At 43.3% G+C, this 27,202-nt stretch overlaps 3 protein-coding genes across 21 annotated transcripts in view, besides 7 other annotated features; 2 read left to right on the top strand and 1 right to left on the bottom strand.

The window, feature by feature from the left end:
* Positions 1 to 16,782, top strand: part of IPP (intracisternal A particle-promoted polypeptide) — a 56,330-nt gene extending 39,548 nt beyond the window's left edge. For 3 of the 5 annotated variants that reach the window (XM_006710623.5, NM_005897.3, XM_024446763.2), the window contains one exon: positions 10,916 to 12,395. In XM_006710623.5, coding sequence (XP_006710686.1) covers positions 10,916 to 10,929 — 14 coding nt within the window. In that variant the 3' untranslated portion in view covers positions 10,930 to 12,395. Of the gene's footprint in view, positions 1 to 10,915; positions 12,396 to 16,590 lie in introns of those variants that run through there. The other 2 variants (NM_001145349.2, XM_047419673.1) reach the window with 1 other exon arrangement.
* Positions 16,670 to 22,925, bottom strand: TMEM69 (transmembrane protein 69). Its single transcript, NM_016486.4, has 3 exons — positions 22,831 to 22,925; positions 19,996 to 20,132; positions 16,670 to 17,902 (listed from the first exon to the last, which is right to left on the bottom strand). Exons 2-3 carry the CDS (start codon positions 20,035 to 20,037, stop codon positions 17,201 to 17,203), a joined length of 744 nt encoding a protein of 247 aa, NP_057570.2. The 5' UTR covers positions 20,038 to 20,132; positions 22,831 to 22,925; the 3' UTR covers positions 16,670 to 17,200.
* Positions 22,914 to 22,983: an enhancer, noted in NCBI's record as "active region_987". NCBI's record gives its function as "activates an Ori minimal core promoter by ATAC-STARR-seq in GM12878 lymphoblastoid cells {active_cell/tissue: GM12878}" and the evidence as "EXISTENCE:reporter gene assay evidence [ECO:0000049][PMID:35858748]".
* GPBP1L1 (GC-rich promoter binding protein 1 like 1) overlaps positions 22,996 to 27,202 on the top strand; it is a 60,807-nt gene continuing 56,600 nt past the window's right edge. For 3 of the 15 annotated variants that reach the window (XM_017002019.3, NM_021639.5, XM_047427078.1), the window contains exons 1-2: positions 24,573 to 24,694; positions 25,486 to 25,530. The gene's annotated coding sequence lies outside the window, so the exon portion shown is untranslated. Of the gene's footprint in view, positions 23,124 to 24,003; positions 24,114 to 24,572; positions 24,695 to 25,485; positions 25,531 to 27,202 lie in introns of those variants that run through there. The other 12 variants (XM_047427075.1, XM_024448806.2, XM_047427077.1 and 9 more) reach the window with 9 other exon arrangements.
* Positions 23,933 to 24,262: an enhancer, noted in NCBI's record as "active region_986". NCBI's record gives its function as "activates an Ori minimal core promoter by ATAC-STARR-seq in GM12878 lymphoblastoid cells {active_cell/tissue: GM12878}" and the evidence as "EXISTENCE:reporter gene assay evidence [ECO:0000049][PMID:35858748]".
* Positions 24,283 to 24,402: an enhancer, noted in NCBI's record as "active region_985". NCBI's record gives its function as "activates an Ori minimal core promoter by ATAC-STARR-seq in GM12878 lymphoblastoid cells {active_cell/tissue: GM12878}" and the evidence as "EXISTENCE:reporter gene assay evidence [ECO:0000049][PMID:35858748]".
* Positions 24,283 to 24,957: a biological region, named in NCBI's record as "NANOG-H3K27ac-H3K4me1 hESC enhancer GRCh37_chr1:46151821-46152419".
* Positions 24,359 to 24,957: an enhancer, noted in NCBI's record as "NANOG-H3K27ac-H3K4me1 hESC enhancer chr1:46151821-46152419 (GRCh37/hg19 assembly coordinates)". NCBI's record gives its function as "activates a minimal SCP1, AML or CMV promoter by ChIP-STARR-seq in naive H9 embryonic stem cells {active_cell/tissue: H9 hESC(naive)}" and the evidence as "EXISTENCE:reporter gene assay evidence [ECO:0000049][PMID:30033119]".
* Positions 24,473 to 24,522: an enhancer, noted in NCBI's record as "active region_984". NCBI's record gives its function as "activates an Ori minimal core promoter by ATAC-STARR-seq in GM12878 lymphoblastoid cells {active_cell/tissue: GM12878}" and the evidence as "EXISTENCE:reporter gene assay evidence [ECO:0000049][PMID:35858748]".
* Positions 24,583 to 24,732: an enhancer, noted in NCBI's record as "active region_983". NCBI's record gives its function as "activates an Ori minimal core promoter by ATAC-STARR-seq in GM12878 lymphoblastoid cells {active_cell/tissue: GM12878}" and the evidence as "EXISTENCE:reporter gene assay evidence [ECO:0000049][PMID:35858748]".

Here is a 27,202-nt window from a genome sequence, read left to right as displayed (position 1 = left end):
ACCTCGGCCTCCCAAAGTGCTAGGATTATAGGCGTGAGCCACTGCACCCAGCCAGTTGTGGTCTTTTTTTTTTTGTTTGTTTGTTTTGAGACGGAGTCTCGCTCTGTCACCCAGGCTAGAGTGCAGTGGTACAATCTCAGCTCACTGCAACCTCCGCCTCCCGGGTTCAAGCAATTCTCCTGTCTTAGCCTCCCGAGTAGCTGGGACAACAGGTGCATGCCACCATGCCCAGCTAATTTTTTTGTATTTTTAGTAGAGATGGGGTTCCATCATGATCTCCTGACCTCGTGATCTGCCCTCCTCAGCCTCCCAAAGTGCTGGGATTACAGGCGTGAGCCACCGCGCCCAGCTGAGAATGTCTTTTATAATTATCCATATGTTTACTATTTCTAGTTCTATTAACTCTTTTGTGTAGAATTGCATTTCTATCTCACATCATGTTTTCTTAGCTCAAAGAGCTTCTCTCTTTTTTTTTTTTTTTTTTTAGACAGAGTCTTGCTCTCTTTCGCCAGGCTAGAGTGCAGTAGCGTGATCTCGGCTCACTGCAACCTCCGCCTCCCGGGTTCAAGCAATTCTCCTGTCTTAGCCTCCTGAGTAGCTGGGACAACAGGTGCATGCCACCATGCCCAGCTAATTTTTTTGTATTTTTAGTAGAGATGGGGTTCCATCATGATCTCCTGACCTCGTGATCTGCCCTCCTCAGCCTCCCAAAGTGCTGGGATTACAGGCGTGAGCCACCGCGCCCAGCTGAGAATGTCTTTTATAATTACCCATATGTTTACTATTTCTAGTTCTATTAACTCTTTTGTGTAGAATTGCATTTCTATCTCACATCATGTTTTCTTAGCTCAAAGAGCTTCTCTCTTTTTTTTTTTTTTTTTAGACAGAGTCTTGCTCTCTTTCGCCAGGCTAGAGTGCAGTAGCGTGATCTCGGCTCACTGCAACCTCCGCCTCCCGGGTTCAAGCAATTCTCCTGTCTTAGCCTCCCGAGTAGCTGGGACAACAGGTGCATGCCACCATGCCCAGCTAATTTTTTTGTATTTTTAGTAGAGATGGGGTTCCATCATGATCTCCTGACCTCGTGATCTGCCCTCCTCAGCCTCCCAAAGTGCTGGGATTACAGGCGTGAGCCACCGCGCCCAGCTGAGAATGTCTTTTATAATTATCCATATGTTTACTATTTCTAGTTCTATTAACTCTTTTGTGTAGAATTGCATTTCTATCTCACATCATGTTTTCTTAGCTCAAAGAGCTTCTCTCTTTTTTTTTTTTTTTTTTTAGACAGAGTCTTGCTCTCTTTCGCCAGGCTAGAGTGCAGTAGCGTGATCTCGGCTCACTGCAACCTCCGCCTCCCGGGTTCAAGCAATTCTCCTGTCTTAGCCTCCCGAGTAGCTGGGACAACAGGTGCATGCCACCATGCCCAGCTAATTTTTTTGTATTTTTAGTAGAGATGGGGTTCCATCATGATCTCCTGACCTCGTGATCTGCCCTCCTCAGCCTCCCAAAGTGTTGGGATTACAGGCGTGAACCACCGTGCCCAGTTGAGAATGTCTTTTATAAATACCCATATGTTTACTATTTCTAGTTCTATTAACTCTTTTGTGTAGAATTGCATTTCTATCTCACATCATGTTTTCTTAGCTCAAAGAGCTTCTCTTTTTTTTTTTTTTTTTGAGACGGAGTCTTGCTCTGTCGCCCAGGCTGGAGTGCAGTGGCATGATCTCGGCTCAGTGCAAGTTCTGCTTCCCGGGTTCACACCATTCTCCTGCCTCAGCCTCCCGAGTAGCTGGGACTACAGGCACATGCTGCCAAGCCTGGCTAATTTTTTGTATTTTTAGTAGAGACGGGGTTTCACTCTGTTAGCCAGGATGGTCTCGAGCTCCTGACCTCGTGATCTGCCTGTCTTGGCCTCCCAAAGGGCTGGGATTACAAGTGTGAGCCACCGCACCCAGCCAAAGAGCTTCTCTTAATATTTCTTCCAGTGCAGGTCTGGTGGTGATGGTGATGAACTTCTCTTAGCTTTCATTTTCTGAAACTGTCTTTTTTTTCTCCTTTTTTTTTTTTTTTTTTTTGAGATGGAGTCTTGCTCTGTTGCCCAGGCTGGAGTGCAGCGGCACGAGCTCGGATCACTACAACCTCTGCCTCTCGGGTTCAAGCAGTTCTCCTGCCTCAGCCTCCCAAGTAGCTGAGATTACAGGTACCCACCACCACGCCCAGCTAATTTTTGTATTGTTTTAGTAGAGACAGGGTTTTGCCATGTTGGCCAGGCTGGTCTCGAACTACTGGCTTCAGGTGATCTACCTGCCTTGGCCTCCCAAAGTGCTGGGATTACAGGCATGAGCCACCGCGTTCAGACTCTCCTTCATTTTTGAAAGATAGTTTGCTGGGTATAGAATGTTAGGTTGCTTTTTTTTTTTTTTTTTTTTGGAGGTGAGTTTCACTCTCATCACCCAGGCTGGAGTGCAGTGGTGCGATTTTGGCTCACTGCAATGTCTGCCTCCCAGGTTCAAGTGATTCTCCTGCCTCAGCCTCCTGAGTAGCTGGTATTACAGGTGTGTACCACCACACTTGGTTAATTTTTGTGTTATTCCTAAAGACGGGGTTTCACCATGTTGGCCAGGCTGGTCTTGAACTCCTGGCCTCAGGTAATCCACCTGCCTCGGCCTCCCAAAGTGCTGGGATTACAGATGTGAGCCACCGCGCCTGGCCCTAGGTTGCTTTTTTTTATCTTTAATCACCCTGGGCTGGGCGCGGTGGCTCACGCCTGTTACTCCAGCACTTTGGGAGGCCGAGGCGGGCAGATCAGGAGGTCAGGAGATTGAGAGCATCCTGGCTAACACAGTGAAACCCTGTCTCTGCTAAAAGTACAAAAAATGAGCTGGGCGTGGTGGCTGGCGTCTGTAGTCCTAGCCACTTGGGAGGCTGAGGCAGGAGAATGGCATGAACCTGGGAGGTGGAGCTTGCAGTGAGCTGTGATCATGCCACTGCACTCCAGCCTGGGCGACAGAGTGAGACTCCATCTCAAAAAAAAAAAAGTAAAAATAAAATAAAATAATCACCCTGAAGATGTTTTTTAATTTCCTCTTAGATTTTTTTCTGACAAGTAGTCAGTAGTAATTTTTGTCTTTGTTCCTCCATATGTAACGTGTTTTTTCTTCCGCAGCTTTTAAGATTTTCTCCTCATCATGGGTCTTCAGTAATTTGATTATGATGTGCCTTGTTATTTTTGTTTAACCTTTTTGGAATTCATTGAACTTCTTGAATCTGTGGGATTATAGCTTTAATCAAGTTGGAATGTTTTCTGCCATATTTTTTCAAATATTCTCTTGTCTTTCTGGGATTCCAATTATATATATATATGTAAGACCACCCAATATTGTCCCACAGCCATTGAGGCTCTGCTAAGTTTTTCCCACTCTTTTCTCTCTATGCTTCAGTTTGTCTAGTTTGTTTTGCTCTGTCTTCAAGTTTATTAATCCTTTAGAGTATCCAAACTTCTAGTTCGCAGTGTCCAATCCCATCTATGGAATTTTTCATTTTAGATATTGTATTTTTTAGCTCTAGAAGATCTGTTTTCTTATGTCTTCTGTTTCTCTCCTCATCATGTTCATATTTTCCTTTAGCTCCCCAAACAATTAATAATATTAGTTTTAAAGTCATGTCTTTTTTTTTTTTTTTTTTTTGATATGGAGTCTTGCTCTGTCACCCAGGCTGGAGTGCAGTGGCGCGATCTTGGCTCATTGCAAGCTCCGCCTCCCAGGTTCACGCCATTCTCCTGCCTCAACCTCCCAAGTAGCTGGGACTACAGGCGCCCACCACCACGCCTGGCTAATTTTTTGTATTTTTAGTAGAGATGGGGTTTCACCGTGTTAGCCAGGATGGTCTCGATCTCCTGACCTCATGATCCACCCGCCTCGGCCTCCGAAAGTGCTGGGATTACAGGCGTAAGCCACTGTGCCCAGCCTAAAGTCTTTTCTAATTTCATCATCTCTGTCATGTTTGGATATGTATCTGTTGACTTGTAAAATTTTAGAGACAAGGTTTTGCTGTGTTGCTCAGGGTGGCATCAAACTCCTAAGCTCAAGTGGTCTTTCTGCTTCAGCCTCCTGAGTAACTAGTACTACAGACATGCACTATGGTGCCTTGTTGACTTTTTAAATTCCTGGTTTGAGTAACATTTTTTCTGGCTTCTCCACATTTCTATTAACTTTTGATTAGATGGTAGACATTGTAAATATTATGCTGCTGAGTATTTGGATTTTGTTTTCTTCTTTTAAGTGTTGAATTTTGTTTTGTTAAATAATTCAATTATTTGCAAATCAGACTGATATTTTTGAGACTTAAAAAAATTATTTAGGCTGGGTGCAGTGGCTCACACCTATAATCCCAGCACTTTGGGAGGCCAAGATGGGTGGATCACTGAGGTAAGGAGTTCGAGATCAGCCTGGCCAACATGGTGAAACCCTGTCTCTACTAATAAAATACAAAATTAGCTGGGCAGGTTGGTGCATGCCTGTAATCCCAGCTACTTGGGGGGCTGAGGGAGGAGAATCGTTTCAACCTGGAAGGCAGAGGTTGCAGTGAGCTGGGATCACGCAATTGCACTCCAGCCTGGGCAACAAGAGTGAAACTCCATCTTGGAAAAAAAAAATTATTAAAAAATTTTTTTCAGAGATGAGATCTTGCTGTATTGTCCAGGCTAGACGCAAACTCCCGGACTTAAGTAATCCTCCCAATTTAGCCTTCCAAGTAAGCTGGGACTACAGATACATGCCATGGTACCCAGCTTGAGACTTGTTTTAAGGCTTTGTAGGGAAGGTCTAGAGTAGCCCTTCCTTTAGATCTAGTTTATCCCTATTACTAAAGCATGACTCTTTTTGGGTCTCTGCTGATTGCCCCAGGTGTTCAACAAATTATCTTCACTTTGGTTGGTCAGAACTCAAATATCTCATAGCCTTGTGTGAGCTCTAGGAATTACTCAGCTTACAACTCCTCCCATTAGTTGTCCTTTGCCTGTACCCACGGAATCTCACCTTAGCATGCATAGATTAGTAGTATTCAGTCAAAGACTGAAGGGGACCTGTATACTGTACCAAACTCTGATCTCTGTCTCCTGTATCAGCTGACTATCATGCACTGCTTGAGATCCCCTTCTGCGTACCTGTTTTCAAAAAGCCCCTCCAGGCATAAAGTCTAGGTGGCTGTGTTTACTTTGTTTCATTTTCTCAGGGATTACAGTTTTACATTGCCTGTTATCTAATATCTGAGAGGTTTTTTGTTTGTTTGTTTGTTTGTTTGTTGAGACGATGTCTCACTCTGTCTCCCAGGCTGGAGTGCAGTGGGGCAGTCTTGGCTCACTGCAGCCTCCACTTCCTGGGTTCGAGTGATTCTTGTGCCTCAGCCTCCCAGGTAGCTGAGATTACAGGTGCGCACCACCACGCCCAGCTAATTTTTGTATTTTTAGTAGAGACAGGGTTTTGCCATGTTGGCCAGCTGGTCTCAAACTCCTGACCTCAAGTGATCTGCCCACCTCAGCCTCCCAAAGTGCTGGGATTACAGGCGTGAGCCATCACCGCACCTGGCCTAATGCCTAAAAGTTTTGTTTCATGTTTTATCTAGTTTTCTAGGTCTTTAGGGTCAGAGGGCAAGTTTGGTAACAATTGATCTATTATGTCTGGAAATGGAAATCCCTCCTGTGTCCTTTTGATACATTACTGTCATTCATTCAGCATTTCTTTATTTTCCGGCAGAAATATTTTCAGTTTATCTTATACTTTTTCTGCTTTAGCCCTGGAATCAGCCATTTCTTCAAGAAGCCTTATTTCCTTTTGGTGAAGGACAGTATTTAGAAACCAAGATGTACACACTTAGAGTACTAAATGCTACTTGGATGTTGCTGCTTCTAGCTGTAGCAGGGCAGGAGAGCCCCAAATTGGGCTTAGCCCAGGAATGTTCTTGGCCTTGCTCAGGATGGAATTTAAGAGCAAGCTGGTGGTAGAAGAAAACAACCTTATTGAGGTGGCAGTGTTACAGCTCTGTAACTACTTCTGCAGAGCGGGGCTACTCCATAGACAGTGTGTTGAGAGTAGCAGCTCAGAGGCAGTTCTGCAGTCATTTATACCTACTTTTAATTATGTGCAAATTAAGTGGTGGGTTATTCAGAATTTTCTAGAAAAAGGGTGGTACTTCTGGGTTGTTGCCATGGAAAGGACAGTAACTTCTGGGTGTTGCCACTGGCAATGGTAAACTGACAGGGCACTGGTGGGTGTGTCTTACAGAGAGTTGCTTTCGCCTCTTCCCTGTTTCAGCTAGTCTTCAATCTTGTCTGGAGTTGATTCACCACCTTCTACCTCATAGCCACCCTCAGTAAACAGAGCTAGGAAATGTATGTATGTAAACAGGTTTTCACACACATATTCATCTGTAAATATTTCTATATCTATTTGTGCAGTTATATTGTAAAACCATGAATTCATAATGATAGCTCCAATTCTAGTACACCAGGTTTTTTCAGGCCTTCTCCCTTTCCATGTTGTAAATACCTTTTCTGTCAGTTAAAGACTTTGCTTCCGCCGGGCGCGGTGTCTCACGCCGGTAATCCCAGCACTTGGGGAGGCCGAGGCGGGTGGATTGCTAGGTCAGGAGTTCAAGACCAGCTTGGCCAACATGGTGAAACCCCATCTCTACTAAAATTACAAAAGTTAGCTGGGCGTGGTGGCAGGCGCCTATAATCCCAGCTACTCTGGAGGCTGAGGCAGGAGAATCGCTTGAACCCAGGAAGCCGAGGCTGCAGTGAGCCAAGATCACGCCACTGCACTCCAGCCTGCGTGACAGAGCGAGGCTCTGTCTCAAAAAAAAAAAAAAGACTTTGCTTCCATTATCCTCAATATTTCATTCAATTTACTTATTTGCTAAATGAAGCCAATTTTCTTACCATACCAGCTGTCTTCTCCATCTAACATCTCCAGTGACCCATCCAGTCACTGCCTAGGTGAATTCCCCAGGGTTCCCTCATTCCCTCAGTTCCTGGGTTGACACAATTATGCTTATAGTAAGAGAAGAGAAGAGAAAGGTAGGAGACAGGAGGTTGCATCTTCACTGAGTCACTGTTCTGTCATGTATTTGTTCATTAGCTCATTTATTCATTCACAAATACAGACTTCTTAGTATGTAAGTATGGATCAGACACCATGCCAGGCAGAAACAAGAACAAACTCAACATATACAGCCACTGCTCTCAAGGAGGCTACATTGCATTGAGGAATACGAGAAATAAATAGTCAGTTATGTTACAATGTGTTAAGTGCTGGGAAAGTGAAGTACAAAGTGTGTTATGCCCTAGACTTACAGGTTAGGCCAGCTTTTTCCGAATTAATTTCCATGGAATACTAATTTTTTGCACTGTTAATAGGAATTGAGTAACTTGAGTTTCCCTGGTCAACTATATTCAAGGAAATCTGGGTTAAACCAGGTTAAATTAGTTTCTTTACCACAGGACTTCTTTACAGAATTTAGTACAATAATGTACTTTATGAATCTTTATGTCAAGTCTCTCAAATTCACTTGAACATAACCACCCTTGCTTTGTTCTGTGGATATTTGCAGAATATCTTGTGGAAGTGTTTCAGGGAACAAATTTTGAGAAATAAGGTTTAGTCTTATTTGAATTTTATGGTTTTTAATGTCACTTATGGTTAGTAAAACCTTCAGAACTTTTGGCCAGGTGCAGTGGCTCACACCTGTAATCCCAGCACTTTGGGAGGCCAAGGTGGGTAGATCACTTGAGCCCAGGAGTTCAAGACTAGCCTGGGCAACATGGTGAAAACCCTGTCCTATAAAAAATGTGAAAATTAGCCAGGTGTGGTAGTGCACGCCTGTAGTCCCAGCTCCTCAGGAGGCTGAGGTGGGAGGATCACCTGAGCCCAGGAAGGTCAAGGATGCAGTAAGTCATGATTGCACCACGGCACTCCAGCCTGGGCCACAGAGTGAGACCTTGTCTTTAAAACAAACGAACAAAAAAGATTGTTTTACTTCTTAAATCTGGATTAAAACTAGATGCATTTTTTTTCATTGTTTTCCCCTCATTACCCTAGCTAGAACCTCCAGTACAATGTTGAAGTGGCAAGAATGGACTTTCATGTCTTGTTGTAAAGCATAAGGATTTTGATTCTCATTTCTGACAAGTTTTAAACTTTGGTGACATTTCAAATTCCTTTCTCCATGATCCTATTTGAGTTTATCTAATATAGAAAGTGAACTTTTTGAGGGCACTTTCTGTTGCTAATTTTTCTATATGGCTTTGAAATGAATAGATTTTAGTTTCAAATTAAGTCTTATCAATAATTGTTAATGGTCGGGTGCAGTGGCTCATGCCTGTAATCACAGCACTTTGGGAGGCTGAGGTGGGTGGATCACCTGAGATCAGGAGTTCAAGACCAGCCTGGCCAACATGGTAAAACCCTGTCTCTACTAAAAATACAAAAATTAGCTGGGAGTGGTGGTGCACACCTGTAATCCTAGCTACTTGGGAGGCTGAAGCAGGAGAATTGCTCCAACCCAGGAGGCAGAGGTTGCAGTGAGCCAAGATCATGTCACTGCACTCCAGCCTGGGCGACAGAGTGAGACTCCGTCTCAAATGATAATAATAATAACAACAACAACAACGACAATGTGTTACCTTGTTTTTTATGCATATGAAATTTTATTGTTATTGACTACCTACTAACAATTTGTGTTACAAATCCAGAAAAGATAATGTAAAACTTGTTAGTGTTCTTACAGAGTTTTTTTTTTTTTGAGGTAACATGGGATAAAAAGCAAATTATATTAGATGAGAACATGTCAATTAAATCAAAAATAAAGTAATAAAAATTTAAAAATTAAACTGTAGTTCTAATACACTGGTAGAAATGAAAGAAGAACAATATAGGATGAGCCCTAAGGTCCCTTTGTTATTGTCAAGGGGCATTTTGTGGGAGAGCAAAGGTTCTCCCTAATTACAAACATAACCTAAATTATCCTAATTTATCTTAACCAGAAATGGATCTTCTTGAGAATGTATTTATATTTTAAAATGTAAGTATTTTTCAGTTGTGTCAGTTTTGTGATGTGCTGTGTAATTTCAGATGATCAAATAGCTTTCAAATTTAATCTAGTCCTTCACTTTCAAAGAATTGTCCCTGGTTTAGTATTTCATAATCTTATTTAAGTTCACATCAGCAAACATACACTAACTGTTTATAATATGATGGCACTATCCTAGTACCTATGTGGGTACTGGGATGAGAAGCTCAAGTCCCTGTCCTCAAAAATTTACTTTCTAGCATTGATGAATAATCAGTCTTCACTATTTATGATTAAAAAAACTTTGTTCATCATATGCTTTATTTAAAGATTGATAATCTGTTCTCCCATTACCTGGCCACTTGCTCTTTGCTCTCCTAATTACTTCTTAGGACCTTTAGTAGCTTTCTTGTTTTCTGAGTATGGACGTTTTCCCTCAAGTAAGACACTACTAGTCGCTGGGTGCGGTGGCTCACGCCTGTAATCCCAGCACTTTGGGAGGCCAAGGCGGGTGGATCACTTGAGGTCAGGAGTTTGAGACCAGCCTGGCCAACACGGTGAAACTGTCTCTACCAAAAATACTAAAAATTAGCCAGGCGTGGTGGCGGGTTCCTGTAATCCCAGCTACTCAGGAGGCTGAGGCAGGAGAATCGCTTGAACCTGGGAGACAGAGGTTGCAGTGAGCCAAGATCACACCATTGCACTCCAGCCTGGGCAACAAGAGCGAGACTCCGTCTCAAAAAAAAACAAAAAAAAAAGTAAGACACTACTAGTCATTTTGGCTATAGCAGCACATTGAAATTTCTTCAGGGAATGATGTATAACAGGAGTTAGCAAACTTTTTGTGTAAAAGCCCAGATAGTAAATATTTTTGGCCTGTGGGCCATACACAATATCCTTTTTTGATATATGCTTTGTCTTTTTTTAAAAAATACCTTTTAATATGGGAAAATCATTGTTTGTTCTCAGGCTATACCAAAGTAGACTATAGTTCCCAACCCCTGGTTAGCCCACCTTTTTGAAAATATGTTCTGCAGATTACTAACTCCACTGGATGCTCCTTGTAAAAAGGATTCCATGGTCAAATAAATTTGTCAGGTGTTCCATGCTGTGTCATTCTCTTGGACATTTTTAAGACTCATTAAAATACTAAAGGCTTTTAAAAAATCCTTTGGTTTATAAGCTTCTTTCTCCTTGGAGCTTTGTGGTTCTTTTGTTTTTATTTGCTTATTTTTGAGTGTATTACCTACTTGTATTCCATAGACTTTGTTTCTTAGAATGTTGTCCTGTGTATGAGTTCTAGGTCATTTCCTGATCATGTTTTATAATCAGACCTTTTAAAAAATTATATTCCTCTAAATTTACTTTGTTCATGCCCACTTCAAGTTTATTTTAAAATATTCTGGGCCGGGTGCTGTGGCTTACACCTGTAATCCTAGCACTGTGGGAGGCTGAGGTGGGACAATCACTTGAGTTTAGGAGTTTAAGACCATCCTGGACAACATGGTGAAATTCCATCTCTACAATAGAAAAATTAGCTAGGTGTGGTGGTGTACACCTGTAGTCCTACCTACTCAGGAGGCTGAGGCAAGAGGAGCTCTTGAGTCTGGGAGGTTGAGGCTGCGCTGAGCCGAGATCGTTGCTGTGCATTCCAGCCTGGGTGACAGAGCGAGACCCTGTCTCCAAGGAAAAAACAAAGCAAAAAAAAGAAAAAAAAATCTGTATGCTTACCTGACTAGATAGTTTTACATTTAAACATGTAAAAAGAACTGGGATATCGAATTTCTCAGTGGATTTCTTTACTATCATTTCATAACACTGCTAACATATTTTTTTTTTCTCTCTTAACCAGGAAAAGTGGGTTGAAGTTGCCTCAATGAAAGTGCCTAGAGCAGGCATGTGTGTTGTGGCAGTCAATGGTCTTCTGTATGTTTCTGGAGGTCGATCTTCCAGCCATGATTTTTTGGCTCCAGGTACCTTGGACTCAGTTGAAGTTTATAACCCTCATTCAGATACATGGACAGAAATTGGTAACATGATCACCAGTCGTTGTGAAGGGGGCGTTGCTGTGCTATGAAATATAAAGCATAACAGAGCACAAGGAACATTTTGAAAATGCAGGACCTGACCTTTTGCAAAGCAAACATAGATTTGGTGATAAGACCCTCTGATTCTGTGAGTTTTCCATGTATTTGGTAGATAAATGACTAACGAGGCTGGGCGCAGTGGCCTCATGCCTATAATCCCAGCACTTTGGAAGGCTGAGGCAGAAGGATCACTTGAGCCCAGGAATTTGAGGTTGTAGTAAGCTACGATCATGCCACTGCACTCCACTCTGGGCAACAGAATGAGATCCTGTCTCTTAAAGAAAAAAAATAAACTCAAGAATGATTTTTCTAAAAATATGAGTGAGAATGGATATGGAATATATCCCAATTAATAAAGAGCTCACACAGATTTGCCAGGTTTACTAATAATAGAAATGCCATTTATGCTGTAGAATTCTCCAGTTTAAGTGTAGACAACTCCTATTTTACAAATTTGTAGAAATTATTTACTAGAAGCTTCCTGGCAAATAGTCCCTTTAGCTACTTCTCCAGTGCAGTATAAATTGTAACATAAAACTTTATGTGATATAGGAATAGTGTCAATGACACAGTTTAAAGACCTCTATATTCACAATTATATCCAGAGCATAATTTTCCATGGCCATAGTTTGAGCCACAGAGAAAGCCAATGAAATAGATTCCTACTTTTATTTAATGCCAAGAGTTTTCACTAGCCCCAAACTTTTTATTGGCAGCAGATATCCTAGGAGGGGTGTTTGGGAAATATCTAGCTATTTTAATAGATAGATACCTTTTTGCTTGATGATAAGTTTTTGCTTGCTCATATTTTTTGTCTTGATCCTGAGAATGCAAGTAAGGAATTAATAGGAGGTTCTTAGTGACCAGATGTTGTAATGGGCTATACAGTCCAGCAGGCAGTATGCACCTAGAAATTTCTCCCTTTTTTAGGCTGGGCATGGTGGCTCACACCTGTAATCCCAGCACTTTGAGAGGCCGAGGTGAGACGGGAAGATGGCTTGAACTCAGGAGTTCGAGACTAGCCTGGGCAACGTGATGAGACTCCGTCTCTACCAAAAAATATATAAAAATTAGCCGGGCGTTGTGGCTTGTACCTGTGGTCCCATCTGCTTGGGAGGCTGAGGTTGCAGGATCACTTGAGCCCAGGAGGTCAAGGCTGCAGTGAGCCAAGATTGTGCCACTGCACACCGGCCTGGGTGACAGCATGAGAACCTGTCTCAAAAAAAAAAAAAAAAAAAGAAAAAAAAATTCTTCCTTTTTTGCTAGATTGTTGTCACCAAAATTATCTGTTTGGCTTTAGGAAGAGGGAATTTTATTAGATTATCAAGCTTTGTAAAATTTATTTGTACTTGGGCAAACCTAAGTAAGAGCATACTGCAAAGCTACTGCTTGGATGTAGAGGGCTAAATTGTAGGTACTTCTGAAACTTTTTATAGATACTGACTCATAAGTGTAATTTGAAAGTACCCCTTGACCCAAACAAAACTGCTTCTCAAAACTTCTCATTTTCTCCCTGAGAAGCATTCTAAAGAATTGTTCTCTGTTCATTTCTAAGAGAAAGATTTACTGGGTGTATGATGCGGTTACTTTTAAGTTATTTCTACTGGCCAGTTGGAGCAATATATATTAAAGGTCTTGCATACAGTAAAAAAAATTTTTTTTTGAGATGGAATTTTGCTCTTGTTGCCCAGGCTGGAGTGCAAAGGCGTGATCTCGGCTCACTGCAACCTCCGCCTCCCGGATTCAAGCGATTCTCCTGCCTCAGCCTCCCAAGTAGCTGGGATTACAGGCGCCCACCACCATGCCTAGCTAATTTTTCTGTATGGGGTTTCACCATGTTGGCCAGGCTGGTCTCGAACTCCTGACCTCAGGTGATCCACCTGCCTTGGCCTCCTGAAGTGCTGGGATTACAGGCATGGGCCAGCGTGCCCGGCTGCATACAGTAAAATTTAACTAGTTGACTTAAGGATTTGATTTCCCGTTTCTTTTTTTTTTTTTTAGATGGAGTCTTGCCCTGTCACTCAGGCTGGAGTGCAATGGTGTGATCTCAGCTCACTGCAACCTCTGCCTCCCTGGTTCAAACGATTCTCCCGCCTCAGCCTCCCGAGTAACTGGGATTACAGACGTGAGCCACCATGCCTGGCTAATTTTTTGTATCTTTAGTAGAGACGGAGTTTCACCATGTTGGCCAGGCTGGTGTTGAACTCCTGACCTTGTGATCTGCCCACCTTGGCCTCCCAAAGTGCTGGGACTATAGGTGTGAGCCACCGCACTCTGCCGATTTCCCATTTCTTTGCTAAGGTCCTTCAGTATATTACTATAAGCATCATCAACTTATTTAGATAGAAAACTTTTAATTGCATTAATGAATTAGGTAGCACTCATATCCAAATTATTTGGTTTAGGCCGGGCACCGTGGCTTATGCCTGTAATCCTAGCACTTTGGGAGACTGAGGTGGGCAGATCACTTGAGGTCAGGAGTTCAAGACCAGTCTTGCCAACATGGTGAAACCCCGTCTCTACTAAAAATACAAAAAATTGGCAGCAGGTGGTGGTACATGCCTGTAATCCCAGCTGCTGAGGAGGCTGAGGCAGGAGAATCACTTGAATCCAGGAGGTGGAGGTTGTAGTGAGCTGAGATCATACCACTGTGTTCTAGCCTGGGCCATAGAGCAAGACTTTGTCTCAAAAAAAAATAAAACAAAAAATATTTGGTTTAGTCTACAACTATACCTTCCTTATAACTTAACCATATGCATTTATTAGGAAAAGTTTATGTAATGCAGACAGGAAGCTCTATGTTCCCTTCTCTGGGGCATCCTGAACGTCTGAAGGGTCACAGATGTCTGTGTAGAGATCTGTAAGATGTCAAAGAATAAAGATAATTTATAGACTAAGCTATAACTCATGTGCCTTTACTATTTCTAGTTACAGAGAATCTGTATTCTGATTCAAAACAGATTTACAAAATACTTCTACAACTAATTTCTCATTGTCTAGTAGCAACTGAAAATGACACTTTGAAGGGGTGTGCTTTGCACAGCTGTGGCAGAAATGTAATGTCAAGGCAGTCAGTGTTTTAACAGGTCCCGAAGATCCCTGAAAATAGGTGACTGTAAATATGCTTATTATTCCTAGGTAATGACAAGATTGGTTTTGTTTTTGTTTTTGTTTTGAGATGGAGTTTCGCTCTTGTTGCCCAGACTGGAGTGCAATAGCATGATCTTGGCTCACCGCAACCTTTGCCGCCCGGGTTCAAGCGATTCTCCCGCCTCAGTCTCCTGAGTAGCTGGGATTGCAGGCATGAACCACGAGGCCCAGCTAATTTTGTATTTTTTGTAGAGGTGGGGTTTCTCCATCTTGGTCACGCTTGACTCGAACTCCCGACCTCAGGTGATCTGCCTGCCTTGGCCTCCCAAAGTGCTGGGATTACAGGCATGAGCCACCTCACCAGGCTAACAAGATTGTTTTTAAAAGAATGTACTAATAAAGTATCTAGTTTTTTTGTTTCTTTGTATTACTTTATCAGTGGCATTCTGGGTTACCAAACTGTAGTAGGATTGCACAAGTTTTTTAGTTGGTTTTGTTTTAACTTTAAGGACTTGCACATTTCATTTTACATTTAATTCTGTTTTTTGAGAAATGATTAAAGTGATCTACCTCCAAAATGTTTAACAATCCGATATGCTTCTAAGTATCCTGCCAATGTACTTAATCAAATGTACTTAAAAATCAGTTTTCTTAAAGAAGCATACACTGTAATTCACCTGGAAAAATAGCATTTTTAAGTAAAATTAGGCAATTAGCCTAAAAATATGATTTGCCTCTATTCTGGAAAATAATTCATTTAATTCAGATTATGGAAAAGTCTTAAATTTGTATAGCATTCATGCAATTTAATAACAAAGAAGTGAGTTTCCTTATCAAAACAATCTGAGTAGAATCAGATTGAGACTGAGTGGAAACATCATCTCTAAAAAATATACAGGCCGGGCACGGTGGCTCATGTCTGTAATCCCAGAATTTTGGGAGGCCAAGGTGGGTGGGTCACCTGAAGTTGGGAGTTTGAGACCAGCCTGACCAACATGGAGAAACCCTGTCTCTACTAAAAATACAAAATTAGCTGGGCATGGTGGCGCATGCCTGTAATCCCAGGTACTCGGGAGGCTGAGGCAGGAGAATCGCTTCAACACGGGAGGCGGAGGTTGCGGTGAGCCGAGATAGCGCCATTGCACTCCAGCCTGGGCAACAAGAGTGAAACTCCATCTAAAAAAAAAAAAAATTCCAGGTTATACTATATCCTGATCTATATCCTTAGACCATTTTTAATCCTTAGACCATTTTTAATGTTTTTCCTTTTTGGTGAGACTAGGAATTTCAGAAAACTAGGTTTTCTGTTAATTCTTTTTTTCTCCACCTTAAGTAGAGTGATTAGAGACTACGTTTTCAAGTGAAAATCTAAGGTGTTGCTTTTGCTGTTTTAAGAAAGCTTCTGCACTGGGTGCAGTGGCTCACGCCTGCAATCCTAACACTTTGGGAGCCTAGGCAGGAGGATTGCTTGAGCTCAGTTCAAGACCAGCCTGGGCAACATAGGGAGACCCTGTCTCTACAAAAAATTAAAAAATTAGCTTGGCATAGTGGTGCACAACTGTAGTCCCAGCTACTCAGGAGGCTGAGGTGGGAGAATTGCTTGAGCCCAGGAGGTCGAGGCTGCAGTGAGCCATGACCACACCACTACACTCTGGCCTGAGCAAGAGTGAGACCCTGCGTTTAAACAAAACAAAACAAAAACAAAAACACACCAAAGCTAAAAGCTTCTCTGTGATTTAAAAGATGTAGAACTAGACCAGCCTGTCCAACATGGTGAAATGCCACCTCTACTAAAAATACACACCAAAAAATTAGTTGGGCATGGTGGCACGTGCCTATAATCCCAGCTACTCTAGAGATGCTGAGGCAGGAGAATCGCTTGAACTCGGGAGGTGGAGGTTGCGGTGAGCCAAGATCGTGCCACTGCACTCCAGCCTAGGCGACAGAATGAAACTCCATCTCAAAAAAAAAGATGTAGAACTAGATAGGCCTGCTCATTAGAATATCAAGATGGCTCCAGCTTGACTTTTCTTTCCTAATTTATATGTACTAGTGGCTTTATTTTAAATAGTTTCCTTTGAAAATAATCATTTTGACCAGCTATTATGTGTTTGGTGGTAAGGGACAAGTTGTTATCTGTACCATGCCAAATATCCTAATAAAAACTGGAAAACATGTCCAACTTACCTTTGAATGTGGCTTTCCCTCATGACACTGCTCCCTACTGACTTTAGAGCCATAGATCCTTTTAGCTCATATAATTGGGTTATACCATGTGAAATAAGTTTGGACATGCCTTTCCCAGTGGTAACTCCTGTGAAAACTCAATGGAACTACCTTTTCTTTTCAGATACTCACAGATACGAGGTTTTCCGCTTGAAGTGGGAGAATATGTGCATTCTTTTCAATGATCACAAGACTCTAACAAAGGGGATTTTTAATCTTTAATTTTCAAGATGGTTAAAATATTGAAATGTTTAAGTGGATAACTATATTATTCATAAAATGACTGAGTGAAAACTAATATACTATGAGATGAAAAGTACTTGTCAGGGATTTTCAAGCTTTTGCTCAAGTAATTACCATGAAGTAACAATTTCTAGAAATGAAGAACAATCTGTGAAGATAAATTACCATTGGTGTGGGGAAAAAAAGCCAAACAGAAGTAGAAAAAGGTGTAGCTGGCATACAAATGTTATCTACAGTGTATTTATATATATATATTTTTAAAACTTTTAACTAAAAAGTAAACTTTAATGTCGAAAATGCAAACTTGGGGAAGACAGAAAAGATCACACACAAGGCTGTCACTTCACACGTGGAAGGTTGCACAGCGGCCGGGCAGAGGCGCTTGTCACACTTCCCAGATGGTCAGGCGGCCAGGCAGAGGCGCTCCTCACTTCCCAGACGGGGCAGCAGCTGGGCAGAGGTGCTCCTCACTTCCCAGACTTTTATATTTTTTATACTTGACCAGGTCTCTTATGTCCTTTTTCTGGAAAACTACTTTTAACTACTAAAGTGATTATAAATGAAAAAGTGGCCAATAAAGTGACTACTATCCTCAGGGCTTTAAACCAGTTGGGATAATGTGGTAAGAGAAAAAGTTCAAGGTGGAATGCTACTCCCATACCCATTATTACTGTGACTATGGCTTCACTAAGTCTTTCAGAAATAAGGAAGGCAAACCATGAAAAGAAAAGAGGAGCTGCACTGCTAGCTAAATTAAGGTAGTCTGGTTTGGCTGGACTACCTTCTGGTAGAGCAAAACCCCATCTGATCCCACCCAAGAAAGATAGGAAACTGGCTCCATAAGCCATCTGAGTAAAAGCTAATATGGGAATATAAGTTTTTGTCATCAGCATGACCAGTGGTGGAGCAACGAAGGGGATTAGTCCTGCCAGAGTTACACATAATGCTGGCTTTGGGCTGTCAGTTAGGTAAGTGATGGTGCTTGAGGGTCTGGCTAGAAGTGCTTGCTTCTGCTGCTTTTTAAAGCTGCAGGGGGATGTATGATAGCACTGTGTCTTGCTCATATACGCTGGAAATGATGAGGAAAGCCAAGGCCTTGGACATGGGGAAAAGTTTTGCTGGAGAGACATCTTGAGAGAAAGTATATCTGTTCTGCTGGTTCTTAGTCCCACTGGGAAAGAGTACTTCAGTATCTACAAAGAAAATAGAACCAAAAGACAAAATTAAAAATATATATATGTATCATCAGATTTTAGTCAATCCCAGTATGAAATAATGGGGATTGTTTGAAAGGAGCAAACAAAAAAGATCTGCTTTCCATTACCACATCAAACTATACAGAAAGGATGAACTAATAACTCTGAAGTGATATTATTGCTGGTAAGAGTATTAAATGGCTATACAATGTACAAAAGAAACCACTGAACACAAACTAGTGATATATTTCAACCTACCACTTAATCTTATTCCATGAGAAAAATATCTGAAAGAGGAGCAGGTAAAGACTAGATCTTCAGAATTTGGCCTTCTAAACTGCCTCTTTTATTTATAAATAGCAAAAGCAGCAGCACTAATTACCGTGGGAATGCTGTTTTTATATGGAGAAAATAAATCTACCTTCCAACTTAGTTTTATGAACACCACATACTTTTCACAGTTCCACACCTTTGTGTATGCTCTGCCTAGAATTCTAGCTCTTACTACTTTCCTATCTAGGAAACTTACCTCAACATTCAAAATTCAACTTAAAGCTTTCCTTTACCCTTCTACGGTCTGATTTAATGCTCCTATAGTAAGCACCCTGTGCACACTTCCATCATAATTCTTCTCACAGTGAATTAAAATTGTGTGTTTACTTGTCTTTGTCTCAGTAGACTTGAGAGCCAGGACCGTATTTTTTTCCTTGCCTTAAAATCCCCACTGCCTTTCATTGTACACGGGCAAAGTAATAACCTTTCCTGCTGATTCTGTGTTTTAGTGACCAGACTTCAACTAAAAAGTGTTGCATTAAAGAAAAAATTGAAGTTATTGAAGAATCTCAGTGATTACTCAAACATGCTAGGAATGGTTCCATCTTGGAACCATTTCCCTGTTTCCATATTTACTGCTCTTCCCTCAGTTACCTACTTCCGATCCCCTGCCATTTGTAAGTCCAATCCTACGTCTTGACACTACCTATTGCCCTTCCCTGCTTTATAGTTCTCCACAGCATTTACCAGTTGATGTATTAATTTTTATTTTTATTTTTTTGAGACCGAGTTTTGCTCTATCACCCAGGCTGGAGTGCAGTGGTACAATCTCTGCTCACTGCAACCTCTGCCTCCCAGGTTCAAGCGATTCTCTGCCTCAGCCTCCTGAGTAGCTGGGATTACAGGCGTCCGCCACCATGCCCAGCTAATTTTTGTATTTTTAGTAGAGACAGGGTTTCACCATGTTGTCCAGGCTGGTCTCGAACTCCTGACCTCACGTGATCTGCCCGCCTTGGCATCCCAAAGTTTTGGGATTACAGGAGTGAGTGACCGTGCCTGGCCTTATTTTTTTTAATTTTTACTTTTTGAGATGAATTATTCCTCTGTCACCCAAGCCAGAGTGCAGTGGCACAATCTCGGCTCACTGCAACCTTTGCTTCCTGGGTTCAAGTGATTCTTCTGCCTCAGCCCCCCAGGTAGCTGGGACTACGGGCGCCTACCACCATGCTGAGCTAATTTTTGTATTTTTCCGTGGAGACAAGGGTTTTACCATGTTGGCCAGGCAGGTACTGAACTCCTGACCTCAAGTGATCCACCTGCCTCAACTCCCAAAGTGCTGGGATTTCAGCCGTAAGCCACGGCACCTAGCCAATTTTTTTTTTTTTTAAACATCGTCTTGCTGTGTCACCCAGGCTGCAGTGCAGTGGCATGATCTCAGCTCACTGCAGCCTCAACCTCCTGGGCTCAAGCGATCCTCCTCTCTCAGCCTCCCAGGTAGCTGGGGCTATAGGCGTGTGACCCCATGCCCAGCTAATTTTTTGTAGAGATGGGGTTTTGCCATGTGCCCAGACTGGTCTTGAACTCCTTGAGCTCAAGTGATCCCACCCACCTCGGCCTGCCAAATTGCTGGGACTACAGGCGTGAGCCACTGCACCCAGCCTGATATAATAAACATTTTACTTACTTGTATTTTACTTAACTCTTCCCTCCATCACCTGAATATACAAGGGTAAGGATTTTTGTCTTTTTCACTGCTACTGACCTAGCCCAAGCAATATTTGGCAAATAGTGCTCAAATATCTGCTGAACAAACCAACCTTTGAAGATGCTTGAGAAAACTTCTGGATGAAGCGAAGCATACTGGCCCCTATTGAAAGTCTTGTTCAGGAAGATGCCAGGTAGTTCTGATTAACATGTTACAGCTAAGCAGAGGCACTGAATCAGGGGCATGTTTCTGTGTATAACACAAGGTGTCACTTAATTTTCCTCATTTTATACATTAATTTTTAAATAGTAGTAATTCATGAATATAACACTTTCCTTTGAAAAGAATCATTAATGTTTTCAAACTGTCGGTAACACAGTAACAAAATAGATCCTTTTAGTATCTGAACTGTTCTTTTAGCTTTGGCTGTCTAGTGTAATAGAAAGAGTAATGCACATAGAGATTTTACAGATACTTCCACCATTTCCTAGCTGTGTGACACTGGGCAAATTGCTTGAGTACTGGTTTTCTCATCTTTAAAATGAAGGGTCTTCTAAGTGGTGTTTTTGTGAAATTAAAAAAAAAACCAAAACAAAACTGGAAGGTCATAGCTTCTGTTTCCTTTTTTCCTCCTATTTTGGGGCTTAAGAGTTCACAACTCAAAATAACGATAGTACCAACCAATATAATTTAGGTTTTTTTAATTTGTTTGTTTGTTTTGAGACAAGAGTCTTGCTGTGTCGCCCAGGCTGGAGTGCAGTGGCGCGATCTTGGCTCACTGCATCATCTGCCTACCGGGTTCAAGCAATTCTTGTGCCTCAGCCTCCCAAGTAGCTGGGATTACAAGCTCCTGCCACCATGTCTGGCCAATTTTTGTATTTTCAGGAGAGATGGGGTTTCGCCATGTTGGCCAGGCTGGTCCTGAACTCCTGACCTCAGGTGATCCAACTGCCTAGGCCTCCCAAAGTGTTGGGATTACAGGCATGAGCCACCGCGCCCGGTGAGCATTAACTCATTTAATGCTCAAAATAACCTCATTAACTTAGTACTGAGAGAGAATAGCCTGTTGGAGTGCAGACTTTGGTGTCAAACTTGGTTGGAATCCTGGCTCCACTACTTATTAGCTGTGTGTCTTTGAACAAATTATTTAATCTTGTTATGGTGCAGTTCATTCACCTTTGAAATATGGATACTAATTCATAGGGTTGATGTAACATTTTTTTTTTTGGATACAGGGTCTCGCTCTGTCACCCAATCTGGACTGCAGTGGCGTGCTCTCCGCTGTCTGCAGCCTTGACCTCCCGGGATCGAGGGATCTTACCACCTCAGCCCTCTAAGGAGCTGGGACTACAGGCCACGCCACCATGCCCAGCCAATTTTTTTTTGAGACGGAGTCTTGCTCTGTCGCCCAGGGTGGAGTGCAGTGGTGCCATCTCAGCTCACTGCAAGCTTCGCCTCCCAGGTTCATGCCATTCTCCTGCCTCAGCCTCCTGAGTAGCTGGGACTACAGGCATATGCCACCACGCCCAGCTCATTTTTTGTATTTTTAGTAGAGACGGAGTTTCACCATGTTAGGATGGTCTCGATCTCCTGACCTCGTGATCCGCCTGCTTTGGCCTCCCAAAGTGCTGGGATTACAGGCATTAGGCACCGTGCCTGGCCCCAATTTTTGTATTTTTTGTATAGAAGGGGTTTTGCCATATTGCTCAGGCTGGTCTTGAACTCCTGAGCTCAAGCAATCCACCTGCCTCGGCCTCCCAAAGTGCTGGGATTGCAGGTGTGTGCCACTTAGCCTGATATAACACTTAATAAGTTACTACATGTAAATAGCTGAGAACCGTCCCTGACACAAAGCACTTTACACAGGAGGGACTGATTAAAAACTCTAATGTAAGCAGCCAGTAAAAACAGGTGAATGATAATATGGATCTAGATCTGACAATTTCATTCTTAACCAAGAGAATGGGATGTCTAAAAAAACCTACAGTTGCTGCTTAATTTTAAAAAATCGATTGGGCAGGGCGCAGTGACTCGCTCCTGTAAGCCCAGCAGTTTGGGAGGCCGAGGTGGGTGGATCACGAGGTCAGGAGTTCGAGACCAGCCTGGCCAACGTAGTGAACCTCCCCCCCGTCTCTACTAAAAATACAAAAAATTAGCTGGGCGTGGTGGCAGGCGCCTGTAATCCCAGCTACTCGGGAGGCTGAGGCAGGAGAATTGCTTGAACCTGGGAGGCGGAGGTTGCAGTGAGCCGAGATCGCGCCATTGCACTCCAGCCCACGAGACAGTGCGAAGCTCCGTCTCAAAAAAAAAAAAAAAAAATCGATTGAACTAATTTATTGATCACAGATCTTAGGGCTGGGTCAAGAAATCCTGTATACCAGTTAATGTCTTCATACTATACTTAAGGAAGCAAGTAGGGAGGTAAGTAATCCTGGGCCTCCGAGTAGAATTTAGATCACACCCACACCCACCCACCTGAGCCCCAGACCAAAATGCCCGCAGAGCGTACCCATCACTTTTGTTCAAAATCACTTTCTTCTTAAGGACTTTCCAGACCACTCCATTTAAAATCTCAACCATCCCCCCATCTTTGGAAACTCCCTTTCCTCTGTGGCACGTGCTTTCCAACTAGTGGGTATTAAAAAGTGATAACCTAAAAAGTCCAGGGACGGCAGGTGATGCGGGATTAAGGACTGAGACTCAAAGCTTAATCCTCCTAATATAAATGAAAAAGCTCAATATTCCCATTGCCCTGGTGGGAAGACTGCAAACTGCCAGCTTCAAACTGACCTCTGAGAAAGGAAGGCGGGGTTTAGACGCCAGTGTCTTCGGGAAACCCTGCCCGAGAGTGCCCGCGTCTCCAATTTACTACCAACCCTTGGTGCCCTCCCATCCCAACGTCGCAAATTTACTACCAACCCTTGGTGCCTCCCATCCCAACCTGCACCTGTGGCGACTTTGAGACTTGCCAGCGTTGCACGGAGAGAAGGAAAACAACCGCAACAACAGCCCAGGTCCACTGGAAAGGCACTTCCGGCAAGTGGATTCAGAGAGGCCCCTACTTCCTGAGGGCTGAAAAAAAATGAGTCCGGGTAGGGACTTGACCTGCGCTAATTGGTTCCTAGGCCCGGCTTTCTGTTTGGGGGCCATTCTTAATTTCTAGTTGAATCCAGATGTTGAACGGTCCTTGAAGTTCTATTCCAGGGCTCCCAGGCAGCAGAATCTGCCCACAGAGTTCGGGTAAGTAGAGTGCAAGTACTGAAACAATCTCAGAATGATGGTGGTGAAGGAAGGTAAGAGACGGGATTTTAGGCCCAGTGTGACCTGAATTGCTTGCCATCTGTGGGACTTATGTTTTACTTTGCAAAACAGGGTTTATAAGGCCTATGGGGACACATCTCACTGCATTAGGGCCCTTTACTATCATTTAGAGGGGGAAAAAAGCCCAGTTCTTACATCCATTTTCTTTGCTGGGACCTATAAACTTCATTAAGGGTTAAAGAGCACAAGAGCAGGATTTTCACTTCCATGAAAGGTGTGGTGATAAGGGCCCTAGGCTTGGGGGTGGTTCGGAAAGTCAGATCATTTCTCCTACTGCCCTCGGCTTTATTTCTCGGCTATGTGACCTTGGGCAAGTCCCTTCTCTTATCTAGACTTGTTTCACAGGAAATGGCACCAGGCAATTTTAGTGCCCTTCCGTGTCTATGGATAAAACTGAAGACATGTAGTAGGAGATCTCAGGGGCCCACGCCGGCCAGTCCCTCCAATCCTCCGGATTCTAGGTAGTCTAGCTTCCTGGTTGCCAGCCATTACACGGTTTAGCTTTCCGTGCCGGATGGAGCCACAGCGAAGTCTTCCTTAATAGTAAGCGCTTTTAGTCGAGCTAGGCCTTCAGTTTTATTGCCTTCTCTGTCATGGCAGCGCCGCCCCTTCCAGTAGTGCGATACCCAATGAGACTTCAGGTAGGAGAAACGGCACTGTCGCAAGCGCAGGCTCTCGCCGGAATCCCGCCCTTCGCTTGGGCGGGGGAGTGACGCCTGCGCTCCAGGGGAACTACTACTCCCAGCGGGTAGCGCGGCCGACGCAGCCGCGCAGCCTCCGGGGCCAGGCCGTGTGGCCCGCTGGGGACTGGAGTCTCAACGACGCGCACACGAGAAGTAAGGAGCGGAAGGTGGGAAAGGGCCGGAAAACACACGTTCCTCCGAAACCGGTTTGCAAGTCCTTGTAGAGGTAGTTTCGGGACGCGCACTGGCCAAGGGGCGGGCTGTGGGAGGGTGAAGAAAAAAGGGATACACACATGCATACCCACCCACTCATTCATACGCGCCCAGGCCCTGGAAGTGGGCAAGGGGGTTAGAAGGGGCGTACTAAACTAGGCTTGTCCGTGCCTCAGGCGGCACGAGGAAAGGCAGAGGATTCAATTCTGTAGGGGGCAGAGGTGACCATGCGCCGCCTCAAGCGGCGAAGAAGGGAGCCGGGGGCGGGGCAGGGCATAACCGCCGTTCTGGAGGCCGAACGTTGGCAGCGTAGGGAACTGGCGTCCGGGAGGGTCGCCGGAGCAGTCCCTTGCGCATGCGCTTCTTCAGGTGGGCGTGTGTAAGGCGGGGTCGGACGGGGGATGGGAGGGCCGTGCTGCTGGTCGCTCCTCCTCCTCCACCCGCTCTGCCCCTCCTGGACCTTGTGGGCCGGGCAGCCATTTTGGGAAGAGCTTTGTTATGGTTGTGGACTAGCCGCCTCTGCCGGGTCGACAAGCTGGGGACGCGTCCTCAGACGCAGCGTCTAGTCCCTGGCCATAGCTCCGCCGCTGCCCGGTGAGTGGGAGTTTGGGAAACGGGGCAGTAGGAGATCCTGGAGTCGTTCTGGCGCGGGGCTCCGCCCGGTGCCTAACCAACGGGCTGTTAAAACTAGTTGAAAGAAGCTCTCACACAGGTGGTTGGGTATAGGTCCGACCCGAGAGGGGCGAGCGGAGCCCACGGGTCAAGTGGTTCGGATGCGGCACCCCCGCCTCCCCCGTGCATGGAGCTTTGCACGCGAGCGTCGCCGGGGCTCCGCGAAAGCGCTCCTACTTTAACTTCGGTCGTCGGGTCGGAACGCTCACCTGCGGCTCTTTGGCTCCTCTCCAGGCGATCCGGCTTGGTGCTCGTTGAGTGACTTGGCTTACGGGTTTTTTTCTTTCCTTCTTGAAATGAGAGCTAAGGGCTTTTGTTTTCCTTCAAAGGAAAACCTAAGGAGGAAAAAGTGTAAGTCAAATGTTGGATATCTGAGGGGAAAAAAGTTTTAACCCCCAGCTTTCCGGTTCTCTGTGGTAGCGAGGTGTTTTCGCTTAGATTGAGTCTATCCGATATCTACCAACCTCCTTTCCTTGGAGGGGCAGGGAAAGCTGGTCGATCCTGAAATGTTTTAAGTGTTATTTTTTTTCTGTTGTTTTAAATCTAGTTCTCCCCAACCCGTGAAATTCGAAAGACAGTCTGAATCCAAAATGGCTGTAGCTTGGGGAAGTGCCCTGCCCTTCGATTACTTAAATACATTAACGTTTAAAGATTTTAGTCCTTTCCCCTGTGGGGACATTAACTGAATCTTTTGATATTTTGGTTTTTTGCAGTTGGTGTCTCACCTTTAACTCTCCTTATGCTGGGTGAAAACAAAGGTGAGGCTCACAAAGTTGACTATTCCAAAAGTTTACATAAGAATGGGTGCGGTGCGGTGGTGTGTGTGTTTAATAGTTGCTTATAGTTTTGAAATTGTGCTGTGGTGTCAATTTTATCTGCCAACTTCGTGCTCTGAAGTTGGCTTGTCATATTTGTTGAAATATTTTTAACATTGACATTTATTGCTTACCAGAAAAATACAGTTAATAATAGTGGTTCATGTTTTAGTTTAGTAGTAAGTCGTGTTCTTGTGTAAATCTTATCCAAAAGTAAAGTGATTGGTAGTCACTCCTCATTAGACTTATATTTGTAATTTAGTAGACTGCTGATCTTTTCTAAGGTCTTTTTTATCCAATATTTGAAAGGAAATTAGGGTGCTATTAAGTTTGAGATATTTACTAGAATAGTGTAAGACATTTTAACAAGTGAAAACATACTTTAGGTATGGAGTACCTGATTGTCGTGCCCTTTTGAACAAGAGACTGTCTTTTGTTTGCTTTTTTTTTTTAATCGATAGATCCAGAAGTTTAAACAAAAAGTCATAGATTGGAAACCAAAACCAATAAATTTCAATATTTGGAAAGGTGCTGAAGCCTGTATCTATTTAAAAGATAAAAGAGTGAAATGCTAATTGTGAATGAGAACTTTGAAATTAATAGTAAAATAAACTCATCTTTCCTAGGGAGTCAGTTTTCAATGTACCTTTTGACGTTTTTTCAAATACAAAAGTTGGTTTTTGTTAATACCCCTAGGATTTTTTGTTGTTGTTGTTAAATTATTTTGGTGGTTTTACAGGAAAAATATTTAAAGTTTTTAATAGAAATTACAAGCTAGTTGCTTTGTGTTTTGTCACTGTTAACTACTAAACTGGAGTGAGATATTGATTTTTTGGGGGGGTACTCAGTGGTTTGTACATGTTAATATAAACATTCAGTTGATTCTGGATGGTGTCTTTATCAGAGCTCTTGATTTGTGGTGTGGGGGGAACTCTTGGGGAAACCTTTATTTTGAGCGAATTCAATTTACTAGATTGCTCATCAGTGGCTGTTAAAATGCTTAGCTGAGGAGGACACATTCAACCATTTAAATTTAGAATGATAAGAAATCTGGTGCACATTTCTGCTTGTAATTCATTTTTAATTTTGAGTTAAAGATAAGACACAATCGTGAATCATACTTCAGAAGATTGCATATCTTTATTTTATGGCTATAACTCTGATGTGCCAGGGACTGACTGCTGTTTAAAGTGCTTTGTATTTGTTACTTACTTTTTTTTCCTTCTTTTCTTTTCTTTTTCTTTTTTTTTTTTTTTTTTTGAGACGGAGTTTCGCTCTTGTTGCCCAGGCTGGAGTGCGGTGGCTTGATTTCTGTTCACTGCAACCTCCGCCTCCTGGGTTCAAGCGATTCACCTGTCTCAGCCTCCCGAGTAGCTGGTATTACAGGGGCTCACCACTACGCCTGGCTAATTTTTTGTATTTTTAGTAGAGATGGGTTTCACCATGTTGGCCAGGCTGGTCTTGAACTCCTGACCTCAGGTGATCCGCCTGCCTTGGCCTCCCAAAGTGCTGGGATTATAGTCATGAGCCACCGCCCCCGCCCGGCTTGTTGTTTACTTTTATAAGTATACTGGTTTATTTGTTTTGTTTTGTTTTTGATACGGGGTCTCACTCT

The sequence above is a fragment of the Homo sapiens genome, chromosome 1 (genome assembly GCF_000001405.40).
Source record: "Homo sapiens chromosome 1, GRCh38.p14 Primary Assembly".
NCBI lineage: Eukaryota > Metazoa > Chordata > Mammalia > Primates > Hominidae > Homo > Homo sapiens.
Note: the sequence above shows the minus strand (reverse complement) of the source record. Positions and strands in the feature narration are given on the sequence as shown.

Excerpts from the sequence above, each read along its gene's own strand:
- TMEM69 (NM_016486.4), bottom strand. The coding sequence starts at position 20,037 with ATGCTTCGCTTCATCCAGAAGTTTTCTCAAGCATCTTCAAAG. Across the intron at positions 17,903-19,995 it reads TTTCTCAAGCATCTTCAAAG|ATACTGAAGTACTCTTTCCC; the intron begins GTTGGTTTGTTC and ends TTTTCTTTGTAG.